The sequence below is a fragment of the Homo sapiens genome, chromosome 2 (assembly GCF_000001405.40).
Source record: "Homo sapiens chromosome 2, GRCh38.p14 Primary Assembly".
Lineage (NCBI taxonomy): Eukaryota > Metazoa > Chordata > Mammalia > Primates > Hominidae > Homo > Homo sapiens.
Window position 1 is genome coordinate 222656304 of NC_000002.12, and position 24511 is coordinate 222680814.

The window sequence follows — 24511 nt, forward strand, 5'->3', positions numbered from 1 at the left end:
AGAACTGGCTAGGATTTGTCAGGCATTGTAATGTACTGACCCTGAAGTCCCGGATGCTTCCAGGGCGCTAACGGCCGGGGACGCCCACCAGGTGGGCGGGGCGAGAGTGGGGCGCGTCAGGGAGGGGGTGGGGCCTCCACGTGGGAGATCTTGCCTGGAGGTGGTGGAAATGCGAGTGGAGAGGGTTCAAGGCTTCCTGCAGAGAAAGGTGTGCAAATCCTGGCGGCGGGAGAGGGGCTGTTAACAGACCTCAGTTTTTACTTCATTCTTTAATCTCTCCTCTACTCGTATAAGTGATATACCTGTGCTTTGTTTGAACTTTACGGCAGCCCTATAAGGGAGGCATTGTAAGAGACCTCTTTTTTTGTCTATTTGCTCAGTGCTCTCTGCTGTCAGTGGGCTGTGCTCAGCCCTCTGCCAGCATTAAATTTCCTCCTTAAAACAACCCTGAGTGTAATAGGCTGAATAACGGCCCCCAATAATATCAGACCCTAATCCCTGCAACCTCTAAATGTAACTTTATATGGAAACAGCGTCTTTGCAGGTTAAGTTAAGGATTTTGAGATGAAGATTATCCTGGATTCGAAAGACGAACACTAAATGGAATCACAGTATCCTCATCAAATCATAAAAGGGAGGTTGAGAGAGACGATTTAGCCACGGTGGCAGAGATTGGAGTATGGCAGCCACAACCCAAGGATGCCAGCAGCCACCAGAAACAAAGAGACAAGCACACACTGGGGGTGAGGGGGTGGAGGAGCGGGGAGCATCAAGAATAGCTAATAGATGCTGGGCTTAATACTTAGGTGATGGGATGATCTGGGCAGCAAACCACCATGGCATACATTTACCTATGTAACAAACCTTCACATCCTGCACATGTATCCCTGAAATAAACAGAGACAAGGACAGATTCACGCCCAGCCCATGGGGCAGCCCTATAATGCATGCTGATTTGGGCCCAGTGAAACTGATTTTGGGTTTCTGGCCTCCAGAACTGTGAGAGCATAAATTTATGGTTTAAGTCAGCAAGTTCGTGGTAATTTGTTTCAGCAGCCAAGGGAAACTAATACATCAAGATAGGTACCATTATCCCTGTTTTACAGGTAATGAAACTAAGGCACAAACTGGCAGTTCCAGGGGGAGCCTTGCCCTAATCCTTTCTACTGTACAGTGAGTGAGGGCTTCTTCCAAAGTCCTTCACATGAGGGGAGAAAAGCTGAGCCAGATGTAAGCCACCCTAACTATTAATCAAGCAGTTTTTCACTATACAGTATTAGCTCCCCTCCATGGGAAGGCAGTCCCTTCCCAGTGACCAACATAACAGATTGGCAACACCCCATAAATGGCAAACATCCCCAATGCAAAATACAGCTTTCCACCTAAAATTGGTGCTTTCTGCTCAATTAATAAGCAAAGGACTAGTGCCAGGCATGATGGCTCACACTTGTAATACCAACACTTTGGGAGGCTGAAGTGGGCAGATCACTTGAGGTCAAGAGTTGGAAACCAGCCTGGCCAACATGATAAAACCCCATCTCTACTAAAATTACAAAAATTAGCTGGGTGTGGTGGTGGGCACTTGTAATCCCAGCTACTGGGGAGGCTGAGGACTGAGAATCACTTTAACCCAGGAGGCAGAGGTTGCAGTGAGCCAAGATCACGCCACTGCACTCCAGCCTGGGTGACAGAGCAAGACTCTGTCTTAAAAGCAATAACAACAACAACAACAAAATAGTAATAATAAATAACCAAAGGACTTCCTGCTGACCTGCTCTGCTTTGGGCACTCCAAAGTGTTCTGTGGCCTCTGAACCTCAGTTTCCTCATCCATAAAATAGGGATAATAATATACACCTTAAAGAATTATTGTGTCCCATATCTGTAATTCCAGCACTTTGGGAGGCCGAGGTGGGAGGATTACTTGAGCCCAGGATTTCAAAACCAGCGTGGGCAACAGAGTTGGACCCCATCTCTAAACAAAAAGAAAAATTAGCCAGGCATGGCGGCAACACACCTATGATCCCATCTACGCGGATCACTTGAGCCCGGGAGGTTGAGGCTGTGGTGAGCTGTGATCGCGCCACAGCACTCCAGCCTGGGTGACAAAGTGAGACCTTGTCTTAAAAACTAAAAAAGAATTATTGTAAGAATTTGAAATAATACTCATAAATAACTAGTATAGTTCTTATCATGTCAGAGGTCCTGGAAATGGGGCAACTGTCATTTTTTTTAATCCTCCTAGTTAGTTTTCTGCTAGTCTCAGACCACCAAGGGGCATTTTGTTCCCATCTCTCACATCCCCCAACTGACCTATCCTACTTTTTATCATTGCACATGTTACAGGTACTCTGTCCCTTCTCTGTGAGAAGCTAAACTGTTAGAAGATTCTAATGGAAAAGAGGAAACTAGGCCACTAGGGCTCATCACAAATGGCATTAGCTAACTGAAAGGAAAGGTACATGGAAAATGATGAGATCGTATATCACAAAATGTAGGTACATGCTTCTTTCATCTAACTTTGGGGCCAGACTGAAAGCAGGAATGAGGTGGCAGCATTTCCTAGGAAGGAAAGACGAGCTGGACAAAAGGCATGGAAAAACTCTCAGCTCAGCAGAAATTAAGGAGATGCAAATAAAAATTATAAGGACATACATGTTTATACCTAGGAGACTGCTAGAAGTCTTAAAGTCTGAAAAAAATCAGATCTTGGCAAGAATTTGGGAGTATAAATTGATATAACCTCTTTGGAAAATATGGCCTTACCTAGAAAAATGGGGCATGTCCATATCCTACTACCCAGCAATTGCACTGCTAGGAATATTCCCCCAGAGAAACTCTTACCCATGTGCACCAGAAGACTCAAATAAGAATTTTCATGGTTACATTGTTCATTATAACAGAAATCTAGGAACAACCCAATGTTTGTCAGTACTAGAATGGGTAGACAGTTATGATAAATGTATACAGTGAAACACCATACAGTTATGTAAACAAATGAACTACACCTGCATGTATCAACTTGGATAAATCTTACGTTGTAATTTTGAGGGAAAAATGTAAATCACAGAAGAATATGTATCCTTGATGCCATTAATATAAACACTAAAAACCAGGCTAACCTAAAGAGTATATTGTTAGGCATACATAAATAGAATGGTAAGCCTGTAGTAAAAGCAGAGGATGACAAACACAAAATATGAGACCAGTGAGTTCTGAGTGAGTTGGCAGGGCTGCAGCCTGGAGTGTTGGAATACCTGTATTACTCAGAGTCCTCCAGATAAATAAATAGGAAACAAGTAGACAGATATTTATTATAAAGTATTGTCTCACATCATTATGGAAACTGAGAAGTCCCACAATCTACCATCTGCAAGCTGGAGACCCATGAAAATGAGTGAAGTAGTTTGAAGCCCTGAGAGCTGAAGAGGTGGTGGTACAGATGCTGTCTCAAGGCCTGAAAGCAGGGAGAACTGAGAGCAGGGAAAGATCTATGGCCCAGCTCAAGTATTCAGACAGAGAGTGAATGCAGCCTTCCTCCCCCTTTTTATTCTCTTCAGGCCCACCATGGATTGGATAATACCTACCCACATTGGGGAGGGCCATTTGCTTTACTCAGTCTATCCATTCAAATGCTAATCTTGGCTGGGTGTGGTGGCTCACGCCTGTAATCCTAGCACTTTGGGAGACTGAGGCAGGCAGATCACTTGAGGTCAGAAGTTTGAGACCAACCTGGCTAACATAGCAAAACCCCGTCTCTACTAAAAATACAAAAATTAGCTGGGCATGGTGGTGCACGCCTGTAGTCCCAGCTTGGGAGGCTGAGGTAGAGGAATTGCTTGAACCCAGGAGGCGGAGGTTGCAGTGAGCCAAGGTTGCACCACTGCACTCCAGCCTGGGCAACAGAGCAAGACTCCATCTCAAAAAAATAAAAACAAATGCTAATCTCTTCCAGGAATGCCCTCACACACCCAGACATAATGTTTAACCAGCTACCTGGGTACCCATTAGCCCAGTCAAGTTGGTACATAAAATTAACCAACACACTACCCAAAGGGTTTCAAAAGTATTGGTAGTGTTCTATTTTATCTGGTATACCTTTGTGGATGTATTTTAAGAAAGAAAAGATGAAGGTGGGAAACAACAGTTGAGTGTGGCACTCTATTTCAGGGGTGGGGAGACGAATGCTGGGTGGCAGATGGCTGAGCAGAAACACAATAGGAATACTTGACAGTTGATTTCGCTTTAAGGTGTTCTTTTTCTTCATAAAGGGCTTTTTTTTTTTTCCTTTTGAGATGGAGTTTCACTCGTAGCCCAGGCTGGAGTGCAATGGCCCATCTTGGCTCACTGCAACCTCTACCTCCTGGGTTCAAGTGATTCTCCTGCCTCAGCCTCCTGAGTAGCTGGGATTACAGGCACCTGCCACCACGCCCAGCTAATTTTTGTATTTTTAGTGGAGATGGGGTTGGCCAGGCTGGTCTCGAACTCCTGACCTCAGGTGAATCACCTGTCTTGGCCTCCCAAAGTGCTAGGATTACAGGTGTGAGCCACCGCACCCGGCCTGGATAAAGGGCTTTTTAAAAACTTTAGTCTAATTTATTATTCTTTTCCTTTATAGATTATGGGGTTTAGGTTATGTTTTAAAAGGTCTTTCTTAATCCCAAGATTTTTTTTTTTAAGTATGTTTCTCAGAGTACTTGAATGGGTTTTTATTTTTCTTTTGCATTTAAATCTCAGATCTTTCTGAAATTTGTTTTGGTTTTGGAGTGAGTGAATGAACCAGCTTTATGTTTGTTTTTAAACAATTCAGTTAATACATTATTTATTAAATAAGCTTCTTTTTACTCATGGATTTGAAATACATTCTTTATTAAATTTCCATATATATATCTATATATTTAGGTTTATTCCTGAACTGTGTGTTCCATTGCCTGTACGAAGCTTTTTCAATTACTATAGTACTATAATACATTTTAATAGTTGGAAAAGTTAGTAAGTTAGTGTACCTTCAATGCCTTCTTTTTCAAAACTTCCATGACTTTTATCTCATGTTGATTTTTCTAGATGAACTTTAAGATTTTTTCAAGTTCTGGAAAACATTCTTTTATCATGTATTTGGAATCAAACATAATTTATGGATTAATTTAGGAATCTTTCCATCCAAGAACCACAGGCTCCATGTAAGTTCTTAAGTGTGCCAGGCAGTGGCTCACCTTAGGCCTTCTGCTTGAATGTTCTTGCCCATAGATTCCCATAGAGCTAGATCCCTTGGCTCTTTGAAGTCTTCCCAGAAAAGCCTATCCCTGACTATACTATTAGTTATGGTTATTAGATATATACGTCTCTCTCTGCTAAAACATGAGCCTGTAAAGGCAGAGATTTTTGTGTTTTGTTCACTAACACATGCCAAGAACCTCAAACAGTGCCTGGCAGAGGGCAGACCATCAATAAATATTTGAAGTTTTAATGTTAGGAATACTTGCTATATTACCTTTTCTTTTTACAAATACATACTTCAGTACTAAAAAAATGAGCAAAGGAAGTGAGCACCAATTAAATACAAACAAAAAAAACAAGAAGAGAAGAGAATGTAAATTAAAACAACAATACAAGTTATGGATATTTTCTCCAGGGAGACCGGCAGGCATTAAAGAAACAAATCATACCGACCCTGTATTGGCAAAAATTTAGGAAGCTGGCACTTTAACTCCTGTTGGGAATATAAGTAGCAGTTTGACAATATAAATCAACATATTAAAGATTTTTTCTCTTTGATCCTAAAATTCCACTCCTATAATTATTCTAAGGAAATAATGAAACAAGTCTTTGCAATGTAGAAAATGTTGAAACAACCTAAACATTCAACAATATGAGCTCGATTAAATAGAGTAGGATACCTTTATGCAGTAAAATACTATGCAAACATTAAAAATGATGTTAGCTATCTACCTTTTTTTTTTTTTTTTTTTTAGATGGAGTCTCCCTCTGTCATCCAGGCTGGATTGCAGTGGTGTGATCTTGGCTCACTGCAACCTCCGCCTCCCAGGCTCAAGCAATTCTCCTGCCTCAGCCTCCCAAATAGCTGGGACTACAGGCACACGCCACCACGCCCGGCTAATTTTTGTATTTTTAGTAGAGACAGGGTTTCACCATGTTGGCCAGGATGGTCTCCATCTCTTGACCTCGTGATCCGCCCACCTCGGCCTCCCCAAGTGCTGGGGTTACAGGTGTGAGCCACCACACCCAGCTCAGCCATCTACATTTTTTAACATGGTACAAACTTCATAACAAGTGAACTTTATGATATGAAAGTACAGTTACTAAGCAATATACTTTATTTTTATTTATTTAATTTTGTTTCATTTTAGAGACAGGGTCGTACTTTTTCACCCAAGCTGAAGCACAGTGGCATGATCATAGCTCACCGCAGCCTTGATCTCCTGGGCTCCAGTGATTCTGCCACCTCAGCCTCCCAAATAGCTGGAACCACAGGCACACACCACCACACCTGGCAAATTTTTTAACTTTTTTGTAGAGACAGGGTCTCATTATGTTGCCCGGGCTGAACAATATACTTTAAATGACCAATATTTTGTTTTAAAAATGCATATATAGCTGGGCACAGTGGTTCATGCTTATAATCCTAGCACTTTGGGAGGCTGAGGTGGGCAGATCACTTGAGGTCAGGAGTTCAAAACCAACCTGGCCAACATGGTGAAAACCCATCTGTACTAAAAATATTTAAAAAATTAGCCAGGCATGGTGGTGGGCACCTGTAATCATAGCTCCTCAGGAGGCTGAGGCATGAGAATCACGTGAACCTGGGAGGTGGAGGTTGCAGTGAGCTGAGATCACGCCATTGCACTCCAGCCTGGGCAATAAGAGTGAGGCTCCCTCTCAAAAAAAGAAAAAAAAATGCACGTATGTATGAGTGTGAACAAAATAAAATGGCTACCATGATATACAACAAAATGTTAGCAGTCGCTATTCTTGGATTGGTGAGATTTTTTAAAATTGTATCTTATATTTTACAGAATTGTAACTAGCAAGTATTATTTTATTATGAGAAAATAAAACCAAGGCTATCATAAAACACAATCATGCTCACTCCTTTTCCCTGACTAATCAGACATTGGTAGATTGTCCAGCTCTCTCATTATCACCTGGAATCAGAGCCTGCACCCGTGGATTGTTTTTGCCTATAAAATATGTAATAAGCTCAGAGAAAATTTCTGAAATGATTGTGTCACTTTCCTGTAATGCTTGTGGGTTGGCCAGTAACTGTGAAAGCTATGCTGTCAGGTCTGAAGTTCTTCTCACACAGGTCCTAAATTGCAGTACGGGGTCAGATGACATTTTACACTAGAGCTACTGATAGCTTAAAGGGGCATGCTGATACTGTGTAGTGCTTTCCTGTCCAAAAGCAAACAGGCTCCGCTTGCAGCCTCAGTTTCTTCATTCACAAAATGGTGATAGTATTCCATCTGATGGTTGTGAGGATAAAGTATGTGGAGACAATTTGAAACCTGCAAAGTGCTATTTGATTAGTAGATATTTATACTGAAAGTAATTACCCAGTATATTACCTTCAGTATAAATTACCCAAGTGATCTGAGACTATGACCTCTTTCTGGTGTGAAGTTTAGTAAAACTTGAGCTGCTATCTCCCAGAGGGTGAGGCAGGGCTTTCAATACAGGTAATGGATGATACAGTTTACTGTAACTGGCCTTGCTTTTACTTGCTGCATATCCAAAACTGGTTCTGTTCTATCCATAATCTTATATGCCTTTCCTATAAATTTCCTGGGTGCACTCCAATCTCTCTGTAGATTACTCTGAAACTTTTAGGACATAACCAAAGTCCGTACATCTTTTTGGGTTTCTATTGCTAGATCCATCTAGAATCAAGAAGGTCTGAAAGACCTCACAAGAATCAGTTTGATCAGCACTAAGGAATTTGTCAAAACGATGGTCATTTTAAATTGGATTTTTTTTTTTTTTTTTTTTTTTTTTTGGAGATGGAGTCTCGCTTTGTTGCCCAGGCTGGAGTGCAGTGGTGCGATCTCGGCTCACTGCAAGCTCCGCCTCCCAGGTTCAAGCCATTCTCCTGCCTCAGCCTCCTGAGTAGCTGGAACTATAGGCGCTCGCCACCATGCCCAAGTAATGTTTTTTGTATTTTTAGTAGAGACAGGGTTTCACCATGTTAGCCAGGATGGTGTCGATCTCCTGGCCTCGTGATCCACCCACCTCGGCCTCCCAAAGTCCTGGGATTACAGGCGTGAGCCACCGCACCCGGCCTAAATTGGATTTTTCAAATAAACTCATTACACATTTTATAGTATTGACAATTCCCTCGTTCCTGATATTCTCCTTCCTTAGTTTTCCTGACTCCAGGCTCCTGATTAGCTCCTTGGATTTTTCTACTGTCACTATGCGATAGGCAAAAGCAATACAACATAGTATTGAGTTCTATCAGTCACAGATTTAAATCCTGGATCTACTGTTCACTGAGACCTTGGACCAATGACACAATACTGATGAGCCTCAGTTCCTCATCTGTAATGTGAAGATAACAACAATACCTACCTTGTAGGTATACCATGTGATGGTTGTGAGAATTTTAAGAGAAATAGTTCGTGTAGGGTTTGGCCTATCATGAACACTGAATAAATATTAACTCTGTTGCGGCCTCCTCTACCTCCTACACTGCACTTTCCCTTCCTTCTATGTGGGGTGCTATCCAGAGTTACGTGCTTAGAAATCTTCTCCTGGAGTGAGGTCTGCAGCCTCCACTACCACCTAAACACAGACGGCTCCCTTCCTATCTTCAGCCTTTATCTCTCTTTTGTACATATTTCTTTTTTTTTTTTTTTTTTTTTTTTGGGGATGGAGTATCACTCTGTCTCCTGGGCTGGAGTGCAGTGGCGCTATCTTGGCTCACTGCAACCTCCACCTCCCGGGTTCACGCCACTCTCCTACCTCAGCCTCCCAAGTAGCTGGGACTACAGGTGCCTGCCACCACGCCCAGCTAATTTTTTTTTGTATTTTTAGTAGAGACAGAGTTTCACCGTGTTAGCCAGGATGGTCTCGATCTCCTGACCTCGTGATCCGCCTGCCTCAGCCTCCCAAAGTGCTGGGATTACAGGCGTGAGCCACCGTGCCTGGCCTCTTCTGTACATATTTCTTACCAGCTTCTGAACATCTGCACCTGGCTGTCCAACATGCTGGCATCTCATACTCAACATGTCAAAAACTGAAGTTTCCCCAAGATTCATTTTTTCCCATGTCTGCCTTTCCTTTTCAATGTCACCACCATCCACTGAGTTATCCAAATTGGAAATACTGAAGTCAACTTAACTCCTCCTCACTCATTTCTCCCTTCTGATTGGTTTTGATTGCAGAAGCTTGGCATCATCTGCCCAGAATTTTCTTTCTCTGCTACAAGGGCAAATTTGACAGCCACCATGTTACAGCAATGGGACCCTGTATCTCATTTGAATGAATTGATACAGAAGTTGACGCCTGATGCCAGCTGGATTTTGGACTTGGGACCATAGGGAACTTAAGTCCATTTGATTTAAAGGCGGAAGCTGTAATGTACAAGTGTAGGGCCATTAGTGGCCATGTTTCCCACCCCATGGAGAAAATTAATCTCCAGCAAGGTAAAATGACTCTCACAGCAAGAGAGAAGACAGAGAGAGAGAGGGCCTAGACACATCAAACTGACTGGTTGTTCTTGAGACCCATGTGTCTCTTCCTCCTGAAACTTGACTGTTCAACAACAAATTAAGTTCAGAATTATTAAAGCTTAGCTTGCGAGTATTGGAAAGTTATAGCTGAGACTCAAGAAGTGAGATGTAGATGACCTATAATGCAGAGTCCAAAACCATATTAAAGAATTTGGACTTTATCTTGACAGCAATTGTGAAGAAATTCAAAGATTTTAAACGATGTTTGAAAAGTAATGGAAAAGATCACACTGGGCACGTTGTGGAAAGGGGATAAGGAGTAGTGGTTTGGAGGGTAAAACTCACAGCAAGAAGATCAGTTAGGAGGTTGCAATAATGCAGAGGAGAAATGATAGCAGTCAGGACTGGGAAGATGGCATGTGTTGAAGCAAAACAAAACATCCACTGGATTGGACTGTCTTTGTCCATTCAGGCTACTATAGCAACATATCATATACTGGGTGGCTTATAAACAACCACAATTTATTTCTCACAGTTCTAGAGGCTGGGAAGTTCAAGATCAGGGTGCTGGCATGGTCAGGTTCTGGTGAGGGCCCTCTTTTGAGTTGCAACAGCTGACTTGTTGCTGGGTCCTCCTATGGCAGAAGGAGCAAAAGAGCTCCCTTCAACATCTTTTATAAGGGCACTAAGTCCATTCATGAGGGAGGAGCTGTCATGATATAATCACTCCCCAAAGGCCACACCTCTTAATACCATTACCTTGGTGGTTAGGATTTCACCTAATGTAAATTTTGGGGGACTTGGGGAAAAAACAAACATTCAGACCATAGCCTGGATCTTCTTGGAAACTGGAGCTAAGTAATGGAAACTGCTTTGTCGTGTCCCCAAGGGCACTGTTGTTGGAGTTGCTGACTGCCTCTTTTATAAGATTGCCTTGGGTTCAGGACAGTTGCAGTAAACCTTCCGAATCCCTTTCTTCTTGTTCCTACCTTGAGTGTGTTGCTGGACCTCCAATTACTGTCCCAGGGCAAATGCAAATGAAGGTGTGGGTGAGGGTCATGGGAAGAGAAAGGATATTTAATAAATACTAGTCATTATCCTCATAATTTCTAACAGTAATCAGTCATAGTGTTACAACAATTTAAAAGAGCAATTAGGGGCTGGGCACAGTGGTTTACGCATGTAATCTTAGCACTTTGGGAGGCTGAGGCAGGTGGATTGCCTGAGCTCAGGAGTTTCAGACCAGACTGGGCAACAACATGGTGAAACCCCATCTCTACTAAAAATACAAAAAATTAGCCGGGCATGGTGGTGCGCACCTGTAGTCCCAGCTTCTCTGGGAGGCTGAGGCATGAGAATCGCTTGAACCTGGGAGGCAGAGGTTGCAGTGAACCAAGATCGCCCCACTGCACTCCAGCCTGGGCAGCAGAGCAAGACTGTCTCAAAAAACAGACAAACACACAAAAGGAGCAATTAGAGAAGCACATATTTTGTAGAGAAAATGTCACATATTAACATAAATTAACTAACGGAGAGACAACACTTGAACTTCTATGAATGGAGTTTTCGAAGGAAAATGTGAAAGGAAGGAAGGCAGGAATGGTACATGGGGTCTGAGACCTTGTGTGTACTTGTAGCAATAAGAAAATATGGAGGAAAGGAAACCTTGGATGGTAACCGTGGGGCTACAAAGCCTCACCTTCTCAGGCAAGGTTCCTGCAACTTTCCCCAGAGCAAACATACCCGAGCCTTGTCAGATTGATCAAATAGTTAATTGAGAAGACAATAAGAATGTAGAGGGACCACAGCAAATTTCTTAAACTTTGTTCAAAAGAGCCTTGAAAATAGAACTTCTTAAAGCACATTCCATTGAAACTACCATAGTGATGGCCTTCTATTTTACTTTAACCAGAGCTGGCCGCTCTCAGTGTTGTGTGTTTGTGTGTGTGTGTGTGTGTGTGTGTGTGTGTGTGTGTCTGTGCGCGCACGCGTGAGAGAGAGAGAGAATACTTACTTTTATGATTAATGCATCTTATGAAAATCAGAACCATGACCTTTGCCCTAAACTATCCCCTGTAAGGACTCTGTCTAGACAGAATACTAACAGAATACTATTTCCTTTTTAACCTAACAATGAGAACATTTTTACTTAAGTTACAGTAAAACGTCATGTTATAGAAAGACATTGTCACCTTTCTACTAGTAGATGTTAGTTATAGTAAAGTGCACAGGAAGAAATAATTAGAACAAGGAAATGATTTCTTATTTCTCAATTCCAAGAGTAGCCTTTCATAATTGTTGAGACAATCTGGCCTGTGACCTTATTTCTTCATCAGAGTTGAGAAGTAGAAAGAGGAACCATACCCATCAGTGGAATCCCAGATCTTCAAAGGGACTGTGTTGGTTCCTTCCCCAGGACTTGCCACAGCTGTGGTGCTTGGTACATTTTCATTGAATTATTGTAAACATATATATGTATTATTCACTCATATTTAGCCAATTCCAGGCCCATAGGAACAAAGCTGACACTTCTGCCAAATGTATTTTTCTTTAATCATTTGCTAAAATATTTGTTGACTGAATGGATAACTACACCTCAACCCAAATGACAGGTTCAGTCATCAGCACTCTTCTACTTACCCTTCAATGACTTGTTCCTCTGTTGTGACAACACTCCCTTTCTTCCTTATATTATTTGAGAAACAGCCTAGTATAGCAGTTAGGCTCTGGAATCTTAGGTTCATTTAGAATTGTTTTGAATAGCTTGATGAATTAAAACTTTCCCACTATGTAAATCCAGTGATCACTTAACTCAAGTAACTTGGCACACAATATGTAAACAAATAAATACATGTTGAATGTCAAAAGGATGAGCAAATAATTTAATTGTTGATTAAAATGGTGATGGACTGTTGCATTGACTGAGTGCTGGTGAGTCCATGCTTTGTTTCAGTTGGCTGTGATGGCTGTGACAGGATATGACAGTTCTTATCTATCAGCTTAGTGTTCTGGGAAAGTAACAAATACATTACTAAGCAAGCAAACTCCAAGTGATCAGGATCAGGAGTTCTCGGTGTTTTGCTCTTCTTTACCGACAGATTCGAAATCCAATGAATCAAAGAGTCCTACCATTTATATGTCCCATGCATATCTCAAGTCTATATTTTCCCAAGCTTCCACATCCTCTACAATCATCCTACAATAGCCTTCTTAGGGGATATGCCTACTTCCACTCTTGCTACCTCCAATCTGTTCTAAATAGGTGCCCATTATTCTGTATCAGCCTATGTGTTTCCTTCAGGGCACTGTCACACATTTGGTTGTCTACATAGGTAGGTATTTTCTGTTTCTCCCACTAGACTGTGAGCTGCAGCAGGACAAAGACTTTTCTTATTCACCATTGTAACTCATCTCCTTTCCCTACCCAGTGCCTAATACATAGAAAGCTTTCCACAAATAGTCAATAAGTAAATGTGTGTAAATTCTCAAAGGCACAGAGACCTCATCTTAATTCACGTTTGTGTCATCAGTACCAAGGACAATGCCCAAGGCAATGCAGGCACTCCATAAATGTTTGTTCTATGTTTGGTTCAGTTGATGAAGGGATGACTCGCCTCTCCAGGTTTTATAGAAATTTGAATCTTCTCTATTCTGCCATTTACCAGCTGTGTGACTTTAAGCCCTAATTTCCTCAGCTGCAAAGTTGAAGTGAATGCGTACTTTGTAGGGTTTTTGAGATTACGCCTGTGAGGTCTCTGCAGAGTGCCTGACATAGGGTGTGTTCGTAGTGTCCCCACCTAGCACTGGGGGAAGATTCAAGGAAGAAATCTAAAAGGAAAGAAGAAAGTGACTCCTTAAGTAGGAGGAAAAAGAAACCCAAACAAGTTTTGCATACAAAAAATCACAAACAACTCCTCCAAGTGGCCCTGGTATTTGTTTTAATCCAACTCCCTTTGTATTAAAATGTTGAAGGAGAAAAGGGCATAGGATGGGGGAGAAAGGAGGGCCAACTATATTGTTTTGCCCTGTTCCAAGTCCTCTTCAGCAATGACTTGACAGCTGCTCATCATTTTGAGTTTTTCAACTATGTGGTAATTAATATTTATAAATAAAGTGCAGTGGTTGCTCCCAAGGACTAGGCACTATTTAGAATCTAGCCATCCATTTAGCACATCGTAATTGAAACCCTTCAGTGTCTTGTACTGCTCTTGGGGTTCAAACTTGAACCCTAACTCAGTCTGCAAGGGTCTGGACCTTGCCCACCATTTTTGCCTGATGTCACCCCAATCTCACCCTTGTCCCCCAAGCTCTCACTCTTTGAGCTCTTCTTGGAGTTCAGCCACAGGACCTTTGCATATGTGCTTCCCTTTGCCCGGATGACTCCTGGGTTAACTAGATTTGGCTACAGCTCAAGTAAGGGCACTTCTTCAGACACTTCCCTGACCGTGCAGCAGTCTTGGTTTTGGAATCTTCTAGTCATTCACAGTAGGGTCTTACTTGTAATTATACACCAAATTGTGTAGTTGTTTTGCTTATGTCTGTTTCCCCCTGTACTCTGAGAACAAGACAATGAATAGCTTGTGTCAGGCCTCTGAGCCAAAGCTCAGCCATTATAACCTCTGTGACCTGCATGTACACATCCAGGTGGCCTGCAGGAGCCAAGAAGCCTGGAGCAGCCAAAAAAAACGCAAAGAAGTAAAACAGCCAGTTCCTGCCTTAACTGATTAACCAACATTACAACATTTTACCATTGTGACTTGTCCCTGCCCTACCTTAGCCGATCAATCGACTTTGTGACATTCTTCTTCTGGACAATGAGTCTTATGATCTCCCCACCCTGTACCTTGTGACCCCTTCCTCTGCTAACAATAGATAACCACCTTCTACTGTAATTTTCCATTACCTAGACAACTCCTATAAAGCAACCCCTTCCCCATCTCCCTTCGCTGACTCTTTTTCGGACTCAGCTGACTTGCACCTAAGTGAATAAACAGCCTTGTTGCTCACACAATGCCTGTTGGTGGTCTCTTCACACGGATGCGCTTGACAGCTTGGTTATCCAAGCGCCCGGATGGTGCTCAGCAAGTGGCAAGTGCTCAATAAATGTGGGTTGAATGAATGAATGGGTGAAAGATTCCCGGAGCTCCTGTAGGGAACTGAGGACCCAAGAGTGAGGAAGCCAGGTCCCCTTCCCCATCCGCGGGGAAATTGGAGGTTGCGGGGGGACACAGATCAATAAACTAAGAAACAAGTCTCGCTCATCTCTCCAGCTGGTGTGCGATTCCTCAAACTAACCCTTCCCCAATCACCGAGGGTTCGAATGAAGGGGTGGGATGCTGAAGGCAAGCGCTGGGTGATCGATCAGCTGAACAATGGTCAGATCCTGGTGGAGATCCCAGGTCCTCAGCCAGGCGGCAGGAGCCCGCGCTGCCCGGCTCGGGCTGGCTGCCAGTTGACCCCTCTCCCCGTCCCTCGTGTCCCACGCGGCGCACTCTCGCCAACGCCCGGCGCGCCAGCCAATGCGCCCGGGCCGCTGTAGCTGCTCCGGGGCCAGGGCGCTGGGCCAGCTCTGGCGCCCGGCGCTTGTGATTGGCTGCCCCCAGCCTCAGCCCAGCGCGCCCTCCCACCCAGGGCGCAGTTGGGTCCCCGCTCGCTGCCTAGCCTCTGCCTTTTCCTCTCCGCCCAGCCAGTGCCCAGCGCGGGGCCCGGATCCGGCCGGGCACTTCCCACAGGCGCCGCAGAGCAGCGTGGGTGCAGGCTGCAGTGGCTGGCGCCGTCCTCGCCCGGCCAGGCCATGAAGGTAGAGTTTGCACCGCTCAACATCCAGCTGGCGCGGCGGCTGCAGACGGTGGCCGTGCTGCAGTGGGTCCTGAAATACCTGCTGCTCGGTAAGGACCCCGCCCCCCGGGCCGCGGGGCTTGGGCTCCATATCCTCCCTCGGGACGGTCCGGATTCCAGGACCTGCATAGAACCTTCCAACCCTCGTTCCCCTGTCGGCCAGAGCAGGCAGGTCAAAGAGGGCATTTGGAGCTAACGTGGACTCTGGTTTCCTCACGAGAACCTCATCGCTAACGACTGTTTAATTTTATTTTCTCCTGCGTTACTTTTTTAAATTGAGGTGCACCTTGCCTACAATAAAAGGCGCAGTTATACGGATACAGCTCGATGACTTTTGGCGACTGTATCTACCAAAATGTAACCATGACCCCATCGAACGCATGAGCACTTTAACCCCTCAAAAGTTGGCAAACTCGTTTCTCGAACTGTTGATTCATAGATGGCAAAGTAATGCCTCAGTAGTTAAAACCTTGTTCCTTCTCCCTCTTTGTCTCCCCACCCTCCTGACAAAGAGCAGTGTTCCCTTTCCCGTTTTGGAGATTTCCTGGATGCATAGCAGTACCTTTCTGTAAAGAAGGCTGCACCACTCATTGCATTTGGTTGAGCGGTTTCTCTCTGGAAATAGTTTGACTCAGTAGCGTGTGTGTTCCAGTTGGTTCCCAAGTTGAGCCCATGAAACATACACGAGCCGAATCATTAGATGGGGCAAAAACGTGGGTGGTTTTTCTTTTTGTTTTTTGTTTTTTCCTTCATATTTGTTCTGCTCTTGAAGTAAATAGGGGTGATGTGGGAGGAGGGAGGAATTTGGGGGAGACCCTTCTATTGAAACATAAACTCTTCTGAAGACTAAGATCATGTGTATGCTGTAAGATCATGGATTGTACAGCGTTGGGGTGGTAATAATAGTAATAAGCCCATTGCATTGGAGAGTTTTACACTTTTAAAACTGCTTTTACATTTCGAAAGCCTGAATCAGTGGTTCTCAACCCTGGCTCTAGATGAGAATCACTGGAGAAGCTTCTAAAAAGTGCAGATGCCCAGGCTCCATCCTGGAATTTGTTTATTATTATTATTATTATTATTATTATTATTATTATCTTTGAGACGGAGTTTCACTCTTGTTGCCCACGCTGGAGTGCAGTGGCGCCATCTCGGCTCACCACAACCTCCGCCTCCCGGGTTCAAGTAATTCTTCTGCCTCAGCCTGCCGAGTAGCTGGGGTTACAGGCATGTGCCACCACATCTGGCTAATTTTGTCTTTTTAGTAGAGACGGGGTTTCTCCATGTTGGTCAGGGTGGTCTCGAACTCCCAATCTCAGGTGATCCGCCTGTCTCAGCCTCCCAAAGTGCTGGGATTACAGGCGTGAGCCACCGCGCCCGGCTCATCCCTGGAATTTCTAAGTCATTTGTTTCAGAATGAAGTCTGTACACCTTTTTTTTTTTCCTTTTTCCTCTTAAGAACTCTCCGAGTGACTCTCCTGTGCTGCTAGGTAGAATTTACCAAAAAAAAAAAAAAATGTAATTCAAAGTGTTAACTCATTAAGTCCTCACAGACTACACCGTGAGGCAGGGTTGCTCTGGATCAAAGCACCATGGAGATAACAACACACGACCTTATCTAGCGCTTGGTATGTGCCAGGTGCTGTTCTAAGCAACATCCACGATTAACTAGCAATCTTCACAACATCCCTGTGAGGTAAGGACTATTCCTACACTCCTGGTACAGATGAGGGAACTAAGAGATGAAGTAAATTGCTCAAGGCGATGCAGCTAGCAGGACGTGGTAGAGCTGGTTTCAAACCCAAGTATTCTGCCCAAAGTGTCTGCTTTAACCACTAAACTGCTCTCTTAAATGGCCTGAACTTGGAGTCCGACTTCCTAACCGATCATTCAACACATCTCTGATAGCCACTGTTCTTTTCTTTCATGGCACTTATCATTGCTTGTATCTGTGTATGGCTGTGGTGACTTCAGAAAGTTCTCTATGGCTGTCTTAGTCTACAAGCTTAGTGAGGAAACACACAGTATATGTCTGGCCCATGGAAGATATACACGAATACTTGAGATATACACAAATACTTGAGATATACACAAATACTTGTTGAATGGCTGTTTCTGGTCTATCACCCAGAATAGGAATTATGCACCCACCAGATCCCTAGAGTATTAACTCATGTAATCCTCACAGCAACCTGGTGAGGGAGGACTACCCGTTACCCTCATTTTACCAATGAAGGAACTAGGAGATAAAGTGAGTTACTCAAGATCACATGGCCCAGTAGTGGAAAGTCGAGACACATGTGACCGCATGTGAGTGGATTAGTGACGAGGACATGGCAGATGCTCAATGACCTGTGTCTAATTTGAATCAAACTACAGTGGTTCTAGATCCAATTCACCTCAATGTTTTTGTTTCACACATTTGACATTAGTGTTAGCAGGAGCATATTTTGTATTATATATCTTGGAAATTATATTGTGGGAAATTTCAAACATACAGAAACTAGAGAGAAGAGTATGAATTCCCATATACCCATGACCTAGGTTTATAATTATTTAATAATTTGCCATATATGTTTTATCCATTATTTTGCAAAAATATTTTAAAACAAATCACTTTTTTTGTATAATTTTTTTTTAAGTTTTAGGTTCAGGAGTACATGTGCAGGTTTGTTATGTAGGTAAATTGATCATCATGGGGATTGTACAGATTATTTCATCACCACAATAATTGGCATAGTACCCAGTAGGTAGCTTTTCCTCCTCATCCTCCACCCTCCACCCTCATGTAGGCCACAGTGTCTGTTGTTTCCTTCGTGTCTAGTGAATTCACACATTAAGATATTTTAATACTAAATACTTTAGTTTGCATATTTTAAAAATAAGTATTTTGTGTGTAACCATAGTACTCTTGTCATACCTAGCATAGTTAACAAAAATTACTTAAAATCATGTAAAACAAGTTCAGATATCCTAAATTGTACCAAAACTACACCTTTTTTCTTGTTCTTTTTTCTTTTTGGTAGAAATGGGGCCTCCTTATGTTGCCCTGGCTGGTCTCAAACTCCCAGGCTCAAGTGATCCTCCTGCCTCAGCCTCCCAAAGTAACGGGATTACAGGCGCTAGCCACTGCACCCAGACAAAATACACTTTTACTAGCAATTTCTTTGAGCCCAAATCCAAATAAGACCCATGCATTATATTTGGTTTTTATGTCTTTCAGGTAGAACAGTGTCTCCCCTTTGTTTTCTTGTCAGTGAAACCTTGATGAAACCATTTGACATGGGTCCTGCAGGATGTCTCACTTTGTGAGTTTGTCTGCTTCTTTGCAGGGTTAACTTGTTCCTCTATCCCTTGTATTTCTTTTAAAAGATGGAAGTTAGAGCTAAATGCTTGATTAGATTTAGATGAAACCTTCTGGGCAAGACTTCTTCCCAGGTGTTGCTGTGCACTTCATGTTACATCACATCAGGATGCACAGAGTGTCTGCTTGTCTCATTATTTGTGTCTACAATTGGTCAGTGGGTCTAGGAAGGAAGTAATCCGAGGTGATGACTGGCATGCTGCAATCTTTCATCTAGTGATTTAAGTCATGATGCTTGCCCGAATTACCTGTTTTATTTGAAACTGCAAAATGGTAATTTTCTTTTTCTTTTTTTTTTTTTTTTGAGACGGAGTCTCACTCTGTCGCCCAGGCTGGAGTGCAGTGGCGCGATCTCGGCTCACTGCAAGCTCCGCCTCCCGGGTTCATGCCATTCTCCTGCCTCAGCCTCCTGAGTATCTGGGACTACAGGCGCCCACCACCACGCCCGGCTGATTTTTTGTATTTTTAGTAGAGACGGGGTTTCACCGTGTTAGCCAGGATGGTCTCGGTCTCCTGACCTTGTGATCTGCCTGCCTCGGCCTCCCAAAGGGTAATTTTCTTATTCTATCATTTATTCTTCATTTATTAGCTAGAATTTCTGCAGTTAAAAATTTTGTCTCATCATGTAGCACCATTTGACTACCCTACAATTCAATTCTTACAGGAAATAAAGGATAAATACTCTTCTTTCCATTTAATTATCAAGTTTCAAGTAAGGAGTTGATACAATAGTTACTTCCAGTGGTGACGAGAGATGTTTTATTAATGATGTTTTAAGATCTCTAAATCAAAATCCCAGAATGCATTTTTCTTCCCATCACCAGGAAAGTGAGTTTAAGCTATTAGTACTTGGAATATATTTTAAAGTAGCAAAATGTTTCATTTAGTAATAAAATCAAACAGTAAGCCCTCCTTCTCTGGCCCCCAACCCCCCTTCCCAAGCAACCACTGATCTCCTTTTTTTTTTTTTTTAAATACAGACGGGGTCTCTCTATGTTGTCTAGGTTGGTCTTGAACCCCTTGGCTCAAGGGATCCTCCCACCTTGACCTCTTAAAATGCTGGGATTACAGGTGTGAGCCACACTGTGCCTGATCTGATCTGATCTGATCTGTCACCACAGATTAGTTTGCATTTTCTAGAGTTTTGTATAAATGGAATCACATCATATATACTCTCTTTTTGTCTGGCTTCTTTCACTCAGTGTAATTATTTTGAGACGGTTTCTCATATATATCAATAGTTCATTGCTTTTTGTTTCTAAGCAGCATCCTCTTGCATGGATATATTGCAAATTGTCCAGCCATCTATTGATGAATATTTGGCTCATAGCTATTATGAATAATACCACTGTGAACTTTCACCTACAGATATTTGTATGAACATATACTTTCTTTATTCATAGGTAAACCAAGAATGTAATGCCTTGATTATATGACAGTTGCAGGTTTAACTTTTCCAGAAACCACCAAAGTTTCTTCCAAAGTATTATATCATTTTACATTCTCACTGGCAGGGCATGAGAGCTCTAATTGCTCCATGTCCTTACCATCACTTGATGTAGTCTTTTTAATTTTTGCAATTTTTTTCTTGTGATACTGATCAATTTTAATTCTAGCACTTGAAGCTATATAAGGGTATGCTCTATAAACTTCATGGGATTTTTGTACACATTCAATAAAGTGACAACTTTGTACTTTAGTATCTAAAAATCAGGAACATGCTTTTGAATTGTTTAAACACAATCCACAGAATTAAAAAACAAAGTCAGAAGCCATCCACAATTATACTAATTGTCAACTAAAGTTTTACACTTCATACTTGAGATATAACAGTCAATATCTAGTAGGGAATACTGAAAATGATTTCAGAGTCTCATCCTGTTGTACTCTATTGGGAAGGTTTCTTGAGCAGATATGTGACTGGCCAAAGGTGGGTACAACCAAAACCAGACCAGCAAGTAAAAGTTCTACCACAGCTTCTATAGTTTCCACTTTTTATGTTTTGTCAGTTAAAAGTGAACAATGAGAATTAAATACTTATCTTTACATATTTACAAGGTATGTTGTGAAGTATATTTGCTCATAAACATATAAAAATACTTATTGGCTGGGCACAATGGCTCACACCTGTAATCCCAGCACTTTGGGAGGCCGAGGTGGGTGGATCACGAGATCAGGAGATCAAGACCATCCTGGCTAACACGGTGAAACCCTGACTCTACTAAAAAGCTACCACGCCTGGCATATATATTTTAATGAAATCAGAAATTTTGAAGCAGCCTTGGCATTTCCTTTAAATTTGTCTGGAAATGACTGTTATATTAGCTTCATGGGAAGGACTTACCAGCTTCTAGGTCTAAGGCTAACGTGATGATCATTTGTCTAAGGCTAGAAAGGTACTAATGAGATGTAAACTATAAGGAGAGAAAAAGAAGATGAGGGCTTTTCCTGGAGGCTGATAGCTAAAACTCAAAGGATTCTAGAAAATGACACAGTAGCAGCCTTTCTTGTCTTTTTCTTTCCGTGTCGATTCTGGTGAAGAAGGAAGTTACTGCTCTTGAAATTTCCTTATAACTTGGACAAGTTAATGGAAAGCTTAATCTACATTCATTCTAATCTTTGCTAATGCCTTCTGGGTATGCTGCCTTAAGTTGCCGTACTAACTGTGTCCTTCCTGTGTTTCTTGTCTTTAATGATCCAGATCTGCTTTATTGCCAAATAAAATCATTGGAAACTCATCATAATCCTTTACTCTGAGAATCTGTCTTTGAAATGTATAGATTTTTTCCAAAACTGCCTTGACCTGTGACTCAAAAGACCAACAGGAAGCCCTCACCAGTTTTGATATTCTGTTGTCTCATGGCTCCAACCAAACTCTTCTTGTTCTGCTTTATCTAAAATATCTAGCCAGCCTGCTGTGTTATCTGTCACACACTGCTTTGCATAGGAATCTTAAGTGATTGGGTCATAACCCATTAGAAAAAAGGACTGGATTAACTGGATGATGAGTGCCGACTTGCCCACATACTTCCCCCACTGACCACCAGGAGCCAAGAGAATGTTGCTGAGTCCCAATTTTTGCAGTTTTAATAAGTGTGTAGTGGTGTCTCGATGTGGCTTTAATTTGCATTTCCTCAGTGACTAATGACCGTGAGCATCTTTTCATGTGCTTAGTTGCCATCTCTATTCCTTGTTGAAGTATCTGTTTAAATCTTTTGCCTGGTTTTTATTGGATTGCTTGTTTTCCTATTGCTGAGTTTTGAGAGTTCTTGTGTATTCTAGATATAAAGTCATTTATCAGCGATGAGCTTTGTATAGATTTTTCTTTCAGTCTATGGATTATCCTTTCAATCTCTTAACAATGTCTTTTGAAGAGCAGAAGTTTTAATTTTGATGAAGTTAATTGTATCCATTTTTTTAATAGATTGTGTTGGGTGTCGTATCTTTAAAATCTTTGCTTAATCTGGCTGGGTGTGCTGGCTCATGCCTGTAATCCCAGCACTTTGAGAGGCCGAGGCAGGTGAATCACCTGAGGTCAGGAGTTCAACACCAGCCTGGCCAACATGGGGACACCCTGCCTCTACTAAAAATATAAAAATTAGCTAGGCATGGTGGCGGGTGCCTGTAGTCTCAGCTACTTGGGAGGCTGAGGCAGGAGAATTGCTTGAACCCGGGAGGTGGAGGTTGCAGTGAGCTGAGATCGTGCCATTGCACTCCAGCACCTGGGTGACAAGATCAAAAAACTCCGTCTCAAAAAAAAAAGTTCTTTGCTTAATCCAAGGTCACAAAAATTTTCTTCTATATTTTCTCCTACCAGTGTTAATAGTTTTAGGTTTTCCATATAGATCTATGATCTATTTAGGGTTAATTTTTGTGTGTGGTACAGTGTCTAAATCCATTTTTCTGCATATATATAATCCAATGGTTCCAGCTCTTTTTTGGTAGATCACTATCTGCTCTCTACTGCATTGCCCTTGTGCCTTTATCAAATATCAATTGCCCATATATGCATGGGTTTATTTCTAGACTCTCTAGTCTGTGCCATTGATCTGTTCATCTATCTTGATGCCAGTACCCTGTTGTTTTGATTATTATAGCTTTATAATAATTCTTGAAATCAGATACTGTTAGTCTTCAAACTTTGTTGGTGGTATTGTTTTTCACAGGTGTTTTGATTATTCCACGTCCTTATCAGTTCCATATGCATTTTAGGATCAGGTTAACAATTTCCACACCAAAAAACCCTCCTGGGATTTTGATTGGGATTGCTGTTTGATTGGAATTAGCTTATAGTTTAATTTGTAGAAAACTAACTGAACTGATTACAGTACATATGTCCTAAAACCAAGAACATTTCTCTTCCACAGCCACAGTACAATTACCCAAATCAGAAAAATAACAATACAATACTATGACCTATAGACATTATTCATATTTCAGAAGTTCCCTTACTAATGTCCTGTATAGCAAAGGAATCCACATGTTGTATTTAGTTGTGTTAAACAGAAATTATGAGCAGTCATTGTTTTGGACTGAGCTCCTGCACTAGGCTCCAGCAGACCTGAGCAAACCAAAGTGGAGTCACTCATCCTATGTGCCACATGATCAAACTTGAAACTTCAAGGAAGCAGGTAGATCTCCAAACAGACCAGTTTTCCTGAAAACAGGAGATTCAGTCTGCCTGAGTCCGTGTAATAAGGAAGTCTGCTTTGCTTTAACTTTATGAAAAAGCAACCTGAAGTGACATGACAATAGCCAATCCACTTTTTCTTCCCTCTTGTTCTGTTTTCTTTGTTTCTACCTTACCCACTGTTCCACCATTTCTCGGTAAAAGCTCTCCTTCTATTTTGCAGAATGGAGGCTGCCCTGATTAATGAATAGTGAATAAAAGTCAATTAGCTCCATAACTAAATTTGCTGTAATTTTGTCTTTTCACATTATTTTGTCTTTTTAGTTCCTTCAATCTGGAAAATTTGGAGAAAGTACATTTTAACATTACGCAAGGGATTCTTGGGCTTTCATAAACACTAGTGTGTCTCTTTTATTATGGATTATCTCCATGGATTTCAGGTTGAACTATACAAAGTATTTGTGTTTATAGAAACCTTCCTGAAAGATTTAGAACATGGGGCTGGTTTCAGCCAGATCTTTGTTATAATTTATTTGCCTTCATCAGGCAAGGAAGTAGGTTCAATATTGGCTGTGCTATAAAACAAGAGAAAGGTATTTCCCTGTATGTAACACTTTTTAAAAGCAGTGTAGAATAAACACACATATGAAGAAAACTAGGCTGCAAAATTCTGCAAAGGGGTCTGATGAGATTTGTCTTTTAGCACAATCCTTAAAAACTCTGGGAGGCAAGTTCTCTTAAAATAGAAATTTTTAAAATCAGAAGAATTTACACTTACATTCTTATATTCTACAGATGGCACGGATAGGTATTTAAAAAATATAGTGTCTCCGGGAATAAGAAGGAAAAGAGGTGCTAATGGATTTTTGCTTGCCTCTGAATTTTACTTACTTTCTCCATACTACGTTAAATGGTTAAAATAAGTATGGAAACAGTTTTCATGCAGAAAAAAATGAAAATTTTTTGGATGAGAATAGGAAGAAACAATACA

The 24511-nt window shown here is 41.9% G+C and overlaps 1 protein-coding gene, 1 long non-coding RNA gene and 1 pseudogene across 2 annotated transcripts in view, besides 1 other annotated feature; 2 read left to right on the plus strand and 1 right to left on the minus strand.

Annotated features, from left to right (window-relative positions):
* Positions 16 to 212: a silencer, noted in NCBI's record as "fragment chr2:223521038-223521234 (GRCh37/hg19 assembly coordinates)". NCBI's record gives its function as "represses an EF-1alpha promoter that drives an FKBP-Casp9 reporter gene in an ReSE screen in K562 erythroleukemia cells {active_cell/tissue: K562}" and the evidence as "EXISTENCE:reporter gene assay evidence [ECO:0000049][PMID:32094911]".
* Positions 130 to 14699, plus strand: LOC124907985 (uncharacterized). The gene is made up of 2 exons (XR_007088095.1): positions 130 to 208; positions 14333 to 14699. It is a non-coding gene; the product is annotated as an uncharacterized LOC124907985 (long non-coding RNA).
* A 655-nt stretch (positions 14700 to 15354) lies between these two features.
* MOGAT1 (monoacylglycerol O-acyltransferase 1) overlaps positions 15355 to 24511 on the plus strand; it is a 38273-nt gene continuing 29116 nt past the window's right edge. Inside the window, exon 1 of the mRNA NM_058165.3 lies at positions 15355 to 15576. Coding sequence (NP_477513.2) covers positions 15483 to 15576 — 94 coding nt within the window. The 5' untranslated portion in view covers positions 15355 to 15482. The remainder of the gene's footprint in view (positions 15577 to 24511) is intronic.
* RRAS2P2 (RRAS2 pseudogene 2) lies at positions 20471 to 21879 on the minus strand (annotated as a pseudogene).